Source organism: Homo sapiens, chromosome 15 (assembly GCF_000001405.40).
Source record: "Homo sapiens chromosome 15, GRCh38.p14 Primary Assembly".
NCBI lineage: Eukaryota > Metazoa > Chordata > Mammalia > Primates > Hominidae > Homo > Homo sapiens.
In genome coordinates this window covers 20,120,533-20,130,410 of record NC_000015.10, presented here as the reverse complement: position 1 = coordinate 20,130,410, position 9,878 = coordinate 20,120,533, and the positions used below count along the sequence as shown (strand labels likewise).

The 9,878-nt window shown below is 45.4% G+C and overlaps 1 long non-coding RNA gene across 5 annotated transcripts; it reads left to right on the top strand.

The window, feature by feature from the left end:
* The first annotated feature begins 1,576 nt into the window (after positions 1-1,576).
* On the top strand, positions 1,577-9,525 carry LOC105379203 (uncharacterized). 5 transcript variants are annotated; one of them, XR_948831.4, is made up of 3 exons: positions 1,577-1,718; positions 6,959-7,067; positions 8,953-9,525. It is a non-coding gene; the product is annotated as an uncharacterized LOC105379203 (long non-coding RNA). The 5 variants fall into 5 exon arrangements; XR_948832.4 differs by lacking the exon at positions 1,577-1,718 and adding an exon at positions 2,825-2,892; XR_948830.4 differs by lacking the exon at positions 1,577-1,718 and adding an exon at positions 2,831-2,925.
* Positions 9,526-9,878: the final 353 nt, after the last annotated feature.

The window sequence follows — 9,878 nt, the reverse complement described above, 5'->3', positions numbered from 1 at the left end:
AAAATGTACTGGAAAAAATGCACCAAACAATTTTGTTATACCAGTTTAATGTAAATATTGCCTTTAAAAGATAATATAGTTTTCAGGTGTCTACAGTGATTTTGTAATATTTGTGCACATATAAAATAATATTTCCAAAAATGTAATCCAGTGGGGAAATATACTTTCTAAATTCTAGATTTATAATTTAGGGTTTAAATTATAAAATCATTAAATAAGACACAAGTGAAATATAGTCAAATATCCCCTTGGAAAAAAATTAAGTGGCCTCTAAAGTGAGGTATTAATATATGTAATTTTACAATCCTCTAGTGATAGAATTAAATACACCACCAAATTGATTATCTCCTACAGTGTTAAAAGAGAAGCACTAACAATGCCAGTGACCATGTAACATGGATTTAAGCTACAAGTCATAGAAATGTGATGAGAAGCCTCAGCGCTGTAAAACAGAGGGTGGAGGAAAGATTTTCCTCTCTCAAATGAGCTTTGCGAGGTATACTTCTTGAAGGATAGAAGTTGAAGTGTTCAGGACTTTTATGTCTATTCTACTTTGGCTTAGTTTACATGATTCTTAGTTTATTAGCCTAGAAATGGCCAAGAAAACTTAAGGTTCAATAATTAGTTATAAATATGAAATATCCCCAATTTTTAAGACAAAAACAACTTATAAATGTATTTGTCTGTAAAAATTGTGTATATTTTTACAGAACATCTATTTCTTTCTTTTTTTATTTTTTAATTATACTTTAAATTCTAGGGTACACATGCACAATGTGCAGGTTTGTTGCATATGTATACATGTGCCATGTTGGTGTGCTGCACCCATTAACTCATCATTTATATTAGGCATATCTCCTAATGCTATCCCTCCCCCCTCCCCCCACCCCACAACAGGCCCTGGTGTGTGATGTTCCCCTTCCTGTGTCCAAGTGTTCTCATTGTTCAATTCCCACCTATGAGTGAGAACATGCGGTGTTTGGTTTTTTGTCCTTGCGATAGTTTGCTGAGAATGATGGTTTCCAGCTTCATCTGTGTCCCTACAAAGGACATGAACTCATCATTTTTTATGGATGCATAGTATTCCATGGTGTATATGTGCCACATTTTCTTCATCCAGTCTATCATTGTTGGACATTTGGGTTGGTTCCAAGTCTTTGCTATTGTGAATAGTGCCGCAATAAACATACGTGTGCATGTGTCTTTATAGCAGCACAATTTATAATCCTTTGGGTATATACCCAGTAGTGGGATGGCTGGGTCAAATGGTATTTCTAGTTCTAGATCCCTGAGGAATGGCCACACTGTCTTCCACAGTGGTTGAACTAGTTTACAGTCCCACCAACAGTGTGAAAGTGTTCCTATTTCTCCACATCCTCTCCAGCACCTGTTGTTTCCTGACTTTTTAATGATCACCACTCTAACTGGTGTGAGATGGTATCTCATTGTGGTTTTGATTTGCATTTCTCTGATGGGTCTATTTCTTTAAAACAAAAGGAGGGGAGTCTCTCATTTACATTAGTTTTTTTCATAGCCTTTTGAACTTTGCAATTTCTATGTTTCAGAACCAATTTCTTACAGTTTTTCTATGCTAAACTCTGTCCTAGTCAGTTCTAGAGTGTATGAAGAACCAAATGATGTAATTGTATGCGACCTGGCTGTAGTGGAACAAATTTGACTCTAAAGTATGCAGGCTCTAATTTTCCTGTCTGGTTTTGGTAAGTATTCCTTACATAGGTTTTTTCTTTGAAAATCTGGGATTGAGAGGTTGATGAATGAAAATTAATCCTTTCACTTTGTTGTATATAGGTTTGCAATAATTAAGTCAGAGTGGAGTTTTAAGGTCATGGAGGGGTCTGATGACTTACAAATGGGCTCTGATTGGGCAACTACTCATCTGAGTTCCTTCCATTTGACCTAATTAAGCTTGTGAAATTTACACTAAGCCATGAGCTCATCTTTAAAAAGTTTTATTAAAAGATTTTCAGCTGTTCCAAATGGGACTTATTAGTGGAATGTGTTTTAAAGGATCATATCAGATGAATGAAAGGTATTTGATCCTTCGTTTCCTTAATAATAAAATGATGGTTTGGAAAAATAGGCTGCAGTCTAACCACAGTGCTATTATTAGGCTTTCATGTTAAACATAGGTCTAAGCCTAAGTATGTCAATACAACAAATACTTACTGTTTCATTTCTAGTAATGAAAAAAAAAAAAACAAGTCTTTCTGGCATAAGGATGATTTTCATCTGGTCATTTTGAAACATTTTTGTAAAATAAATTTACATCTATAAAGAACATTTTTATTTGTAAGGAGGGGTATGTCTCTGTGCACTGGAAGAGAGGGAGGACTAAATCACTGGGAAGTCTTATGATAAAGAAGCCATTGGCTTAAATCAGCAAAGCAAGCCGTCCCTTGGTTTAAGGTGTTTTTCCTGGCCATCCTGTCTTGACTAGAACTTTACCTACACCTTCCTTTTTGGTTTAGGCAAATTATAGTATCTAAAACTGAAGTCTCAGCTCTGTGTCTTTGAGATATAAATGTTCTACCATGTCTTCTCTGGAACCTGATAACTATCTATCTCTTTAAAATGCAAGTCTAGGGAGATGACTCATCAGAAAAAGAAGAAAAAAGAGGTATTTGGAAATTGTGCAAATTAAAGCAGCCCCTGATGCCAAAGTCTACACATTCCTGAGTGAGTCAGTTCTGGCCAGTTCTAGCTGGATCAAGAGAGCTCTGCTGGGCAGGCCTGAAGAGCACCTGGATGGCAGACACCTGAGGAGCCAGGTGCCTGAAACTTCCTCCACCTACTTGAGGAGTGCCAAAGCCCAGGTGCTGGCTGGACAACCCCTTCTGGCTGCCTAAGCAGATGGCAGAAGAAGGAAACAAGGTCAGAGGCAGAGTGTTGAACCCTGCCTCCCAGGTGGGTGGAAGATGCCTGTCGCCAAACTAGGGCCCAGCTTGCCAGGTGAGATGGGTGAACTGGTGATCCCCCGAGAGAGTGGACGTCAGAACTACATGTTCCCGGACTTCACCTCGGCCAGCGAAGGAGAGAGAGGGTTAATGTTAACTGCACGAGGCTCACTCTAGCCTTAAATTCTGTAATTCAAACCCTTCCCTTGGAGACAAAACAAACATGACAAGGAATTCTGAGGTCAGGGGAGACGAATCACAAGTTCCCTAGTGGGAGACTGAGGAGGCAGTGTCCTTCCTGCCCTTGGTCTACTGGCTAAGAACCTTCCTTAGCCTCACCTTTGCACATTGCACTTTCAGCTCTGTTTGCAATTTTCCTCCTTTAGTGCTGAGGGAATCCCAGTGTTCGATCCTGAAATCTATAGGTTCCTAATGGGTGGTTAAAAAAAACCTCAGCGAGAGAAGCAGAAAATGTTTCCTCTTCCTGAAAAACTGTAGAAAGGCAGGCACCATTCTGGGTGAGGACATGGTCCTTGCAAATGTCTTTGTGTTTTTTTTTTTTTTTTTTTTTTTTTTGAGATGAAGTTTTGCTCTTGTTGCCCAGACTGGAGTGCAGTGGTGTGATCTCTGCTCATTGCAACCTCCGCCTCCTGGGTTCAAGCAGTTCTCCTACCTCAGCCTCCCAAGTAGCTGGAATTACAGGCACCTGCCACCACACCTGGCTAATTTTTTGTATTTTTAGTAGAGATGGGGTTTTGCCATGTTGGCCATGTTGGTCTCGAACTCCTGACCTCAAGTGAGCCCCCCGCTTCTGCCTCCCAAAGTGCTGGGATTACAGGAGTGAGCCACCGCATGCAGCCTGCAAACGTCTTTAAAGACAGCATGTTTCAGAGGCTGTGACAGTGCCCTGTGAACATGCCAATTCTCGCAGTCCCGGCAGCTCTGAGGAGCAGGCTCGGCTCCTTGCCAGGCTGATGGTACTGAAACTCTGCTCTCCAAGACATAACCTGATGGCCGTGCAAGATTTCTTAATCGACTGTGGACCGTGAGAGTCTGCATCTCATTTTAATTAAGATGGGAAAAGAAAGAACAAAAGAGCAACTCCCAGGTTATAGAGAAACTGGATTTTAGTATAATATTCAAGTGTAACATTGCTAATAATAACAAACCTTTCCCCTCCCAAACGGTAAACACTTGCACTGCCTATTATACAAAAATTCAACCACCCTCTCTGTTCCCCCGATATCTCCTGCCCAGTGACCCCCGTTTCATGCGGCCTCATGAGCCTGGCCAGTGGTGAATGGCAGTTTCATGGGCATGAGACTCCACGTGAGTGGGACTCAGCTGGGACCCCTCTCCACGTGGGAGCTGGAGAAGCCACCCTAGTAGCAGCTTAAAGTGTCCGTGATGTCCCTGCTGCTGAGCTAGGGGCCGCCTCTGAGCTGGTATCGGGGTGTGAGCTGCTGCTGGTAGTGGGCTCTGCCCTGAGTGCCTGGTGGCTGGTCAGAACGGCAGGCACACATGGGTGACTCCCCAGGAACTCAGGCCACCTCCCCACCACAGCCCTGCACCGTGTGCTCCAGGCATGTGCTGAGTGCCTGGTCAATCACCAGTGCCCTATTGATCCCAGTCTCCAGAGAGATCATTTAGTGTCACTCCACAGAGGGGGAAACTGAGGCCCAGAGAAGTAAGGTGACTCTCCCCAGTCACAGGGCTGGTCAGCAGTAGGATGGGAGGCTAGTCCCTTGCTGTCTGACTCCCTGAGCCCACCCATATCCCAAGGCAGCCAACCTCTGCCCGCCCTGGTTCAGGACCCGACTGGCTCCTGTGGTGGGTGATGTCTATCTTCCTGGCCTTTGTGCTCCCAGCCAACTGGGATGGAGCCTCCAGCTGGCATGACATGTTGTAGCTATGGACAGAAGAGTGGCTGTGAGGCTGCCAGGAATCTCACCAGGGCCCCCTCCCAGGGCCTGTCCAGAGTGAGGTCTGGGTACCCCAGGCATTGCCAGACCACAGGATCTGATGTTGACCAAGAGGCCATGGCCACAGGCTTTCTGAGGCTGGCCCCCAGGGAGAGTTCAATCCCACTATCCCAATTCCTGCCCTGGCCTTACCTCTCAGTCTCACCGAGCCGCTTCATGGTCCCAAACCAGGACCCAAAGTGCTGCTTGGGCTCAAGGTTGTAATTATATGCAGCCAACTGGAGCAGCGGACCTCCTTGCTTACTTTGAATTCCTGGGTCCAGAGGGAAAAACTGGGTGGTGACAGGGACTGGACAGGGATGCCACAGGGGCCCTGTGGGGGTGTTAGATTGGGTGGTGGCCAGTCTTTGCTCATAGGGGACACCCTTCTCCTCTCCAGTCCTGTCCCCACCTGTTCTCAGAGCTGGCTCAAACAGCAGCTCCTCCAGGAAGGTGTCCTTGGTTTCAACCTGGTACTCCCACCTGCAGGTCTTCCTGGAGTGTCTCCTCTTTCTCTCTGTCTCCCCATAAATCTAAGATGAGGGGGATGGATTTGCCCACCGCTACTCACCGTATGACTCTTGTGAGGTTGATCAGTCTCCCCTGGAAGGCCAACAGCTGAAGTCCATCAGAAAGGGTCCTCTGGCCCAGAGCCAGACCCTGCCCACCCCTGTCATGCTGCACCCAGGGTGCAAGCCCCAGATCAGGTCTGGGTGACAGGAGGGGTATAGAGGGGCTGAGGCTCAGGGGCCTTCTAGCCTAACTTGTCTGGAGACAGTTGGGGAAACTGAGACCCCAAGCAGGGAGGTATGGCTCCGAGAGATTATTCTCGTTAACCTGGAACATTTTTGCAAGCTGTTAGGTATAGGAAGTCTGTCACAGGTAAGAGAAATGCTTTTTGAGAGCATGAGAGACAGCAGGGCTGTGACAATATTGAAACACTGCCGTGCAGATTCACCAATTGCCACCACCGGGAGCCCCCTGAGAGTCATTGCAGATGCACAGCCCTCCCCTGCAACCCCTGGACCTCCCCATGGTCTGGCATCTAAAGGGTTATGCCTCATGGCAGGAATCAGGGCCCTCAGGATGCCCTGCCCACTCCAAGGTCTGCCTCTGCTCTGATTGGTCACTGACATTCAGATTGTCACCCAAATATAAGGACGTTAGCAGAAAGACTCATTCAATACAAGTGGACTCAGACATAGATAGGAATTGAGTTGCAAAAAGCCCCTTTTGTTTCTTTTATTTTGGAAAAAACTTTTATTGTGAAATTCACATATATATATATGGAAAAAAAACTGAATCAATGCAAAAGGATAGACAATGAACAAATGAATTCCCCTTCCACTCCAGATCCCCAACTCAGATCCAGACCTCCTGAGCCCACTTCCCCCATCTCATCACAGATTCAGACCTCCTGAGCCCACTTTCCCCATCTCATCACAGATCCAGACCTCCTGAGCCCACTTTCCCCATCTCATCACAGATCCAGACCTCCCCCACTTTCCCCATCTCATCACAGATCCAGACCTCCTGAGCCCACTTCCCCATCTCATCACCAGTGATTTCTTGGGCTCTGCATTAGTTTTCTATTGCTGCTGCAGCAAACAGCTACAGACTCAGTGGCTTCCATTTCCGTCTTATAGTTCTGGTTGCCAAAAGTCCTAAGAGGATCTCACTGGGCTAAAGTCAAGGTGCTGGTGGGGCTATGTCCCTTCTGGAGGCTCAAGGGATGAATCAGGTCCCTGCGTTTTCTAGCTTCTAGGGGCTCCAGCTTCTGGGTTTGTGGCCTCCTTCCTCCATCCTCAAAGCCAGCAACAGCAGGTGAAGTCCTCGCCCATCGTGCATCACTCTCCCTTCTGCCTCCTTCAACTTTTTTTTTTATATTTAGGGGGAACGAGTATAGGATTCTTACATAGTCAAAAAGCTCCTTATAGAGAAGCTCAGAACTTTCAATACAGCTTTGCCTTTTTTGCCATTTAAATTTTCCATTTAATTTAAATGTATTCTCTCATTTGACCTTCATACTCTGTGGAGAAATATTCCTGTTTTGGCTTGTATTGACAAGTTGTTTTCACACAGCCCCCACATCACCCAACCAACCAGCAGAGATCCTCCTTCCCAAGAAACAGATAAAGAAACTGAGGCCCAGGAAGGCTAAGAGTCCTGCCAGGATTATTCACCTTTCAAGGTAAGGAGCCAGTTCCAGACCGGGGTTTGTGCAGCTCCAAGCTCCCCCGTCTTTCTACAATGCTAGATTTAGACTAAAGCAATCTAGCAAGTGTGGCCACACAATGGTCAAGTTGGATTTAGATGATGTTCTTTATAAATCCATTCTCCTCTCCCGTGTAAGCAAGGCAAAGTACTCCAGGCCATGGGGAGTCCCTGAAGACTCGATGAACTGCAGTGGCCACATCAGGAGGTTGCAGGTTAACCAGAACTCACCGACACAGCAGGAGAGCAGCTTGGAACCTGCAACCTAGCCAAAACCTAGTGCCTTGGATTGGGGGAGAAAACATGCAGCCATTCCTCTCTCTCTGCTGGCTAGAGGGGATTCTGGCTTTTCCTGCCAGAGCCACCCCTTTCCCTCCTCCTAAAGTTGATGGTGGTTCTTTAAGGAAAGGGAGAAGTGCACGGTGTGATAGGGCAGGAAGAGAAGAAAACGGAGGAGAGGAGGGGACTTTCCCATAAGCAGGCAGAAGAAAAGGCAGCTGTGGTGTGTGATGGACATGGATGCAGTGGTGTCCAATGTGGGGTCAGCCCTAGAGGAGAGACAGAGAGAGAGACAGAAAAGTGAGAGAGTCCTGACCCTTATGATTAACATGGGATCTGCCTGCAAATGCTGTTTAGGGTCATCGCCTCTTCCTGTACCACTATTTTTGAGAGTGATGCTCCTGAGCCCCACGACCCAGTCAAATTTGATGTCCCCTTGAGCCAGATTCAGTGCTGGGAGTCCAGTGTGATCTGCCTGGATCTTGCTGCATTGAGAACAGGCCAGATCTTGACCCCAATACAGGGGCTGGATATGAACAGGCAACAGCTGAGTTTCTGAGTCAGAAAGACTTGGTTAATTGCTAATTGCTTAGGCAAGTAATTTAATTTTGTTGCATCAGATTCCTCAGCTACAAAATGCACATGACAGTACTTATTCCTCCAGGTTGTGGGGAAAATGGAGATTCTAAGCACGATGTCCATTTCACAGAAAGATACCAATTTGGTGGCTTATTTCCTTTCTACCTTCAGAAGTGGCTATCCCTGCCACCCAAACAGACCCTTGACTCTCAAGTGGATGTCCCATTTGCACAGGGGGAGACCTTACAGCCTACGTTGAGTCTATACTTACCACTTAGTGAGCATGGTATCTGCTCAGGGGCCTCTGTGGGCATCTGTCTCCTCTGCAGCATCTTTCCTCCCCACTGCTGGGTCTGCACATGACCCCCTCCTTGGGTTAGGCCTCTGATCAGTGATGACCTTGGTATGGTGGTAATGGTCAGTCTTGGCATCAAATGAGCCAGTTTATATCATCAGCTATTCAATAAAATACTAATCTAGGTGTCACCGTGAAAGTATTTTGTGACATTGTTATGTACATATTGTTACAAATGTGCATGATGCATTTACTACAGCATAGAATTTTGCCTGGGTGCCACCCTGAAGTCTGTCCGACAGATCATAGCCATGTTAGTCCCACAGTCGCAGGGGCCAATTGATTAAATTATTTTATCTCCCTTGAGAACTAAAACTAAAATCCTAAGCCCCCCACCCAACTTAACAGACCCCCTGTTGGCCAACGGAACCTCAAATAAATCTTAAAATTCAGTTCTTGGCCATGACAGGACAGGAAGTCAGACATACCTCCCTGTACCTCCCTCCCTCTTATGGTTTAGACCCAACAACTGAACAGCATTGATGTTAAAATAGAGATCATGAGACTGACAGAACAGACTCTTTGTGGCAATAAGACCTCAAATTATAAACAGGACCTAGGGCCATGCCAGGCGAGGGTTAAGTCTTGTACCCTACTCTTAAAGAATTAACTAGATTCTAGCTACCACATGGGTTTTATTTTTCTCTAGCAGCCAAGCAAGCACTGGCTGTGAGAGATGGCTGTGAGAGAAGATTAAAACAATTACAACTCACCCAGTTCACAGATGCTGAGTAACTGATCTCCTGCCCCACTAACCTTAACGACAGCTTTCTCTGGACAAGGGACTGATTTCAGTAACTTTCTCCTGATAAGAGACCATCCTCCATGGACTGGTTCTGGCCAGTTTTAGAGGCTGTGCCTTTACGAGGCTGAGTACCTTCATGTCCCTGCTTCACTTTTTGATGTGTAGGGCCTAATTATAATACATTTAAATGTCAAGTCTCCACCCCAGAATGAACATGCATGTTTATTGAATATGCATGTGTTAGGACCTCTTTTATGAGTATTCTCATAAAATGATATAGCTCCTCTGATATCCTATTGAGTATGTATATGTAGCCAACTCATTTGGCTCAAATTCCTGTCCTCTCCCTCCCTCCCTGGAAATGCCTGCCTCTGGCCTTGGCTGTAGGCCACACTTCCCAGCCTGTCATAATGGCCACCTTGCAGACTGCAAACCTTTATAAGAAATAAAGCTCTCTTTTCTAAATTTATAAAATTGTGTGATTTTTCAGTTGATCCTCTCTTTCTACACACACACACACACACACACACACACACATGCAATTTATACAGAAGGAAATCTGGAGAATATATGTGGGAATGGATATTAAGTGTGTGGCACCATGGTGAAAGTAACATAAAGTTGGATTAGGCTAAATTTATTAATGTTGGCCCACTAAACAGAGATTCTGGACTCAGAGTTGTAGGTCAAAGCTTTAGAAAGGGCTCCAAGGGTTGGTTTGATCGGTTACTTGGTTGGTTGCTTGCTTGGTTGGTGGTGCTTGCTTCCTTGCTTGGTTGTTTGGTTGGTTTGTTGCTTGCTTGCTTGCTTGTTGGTTGATTGGTTGGCTG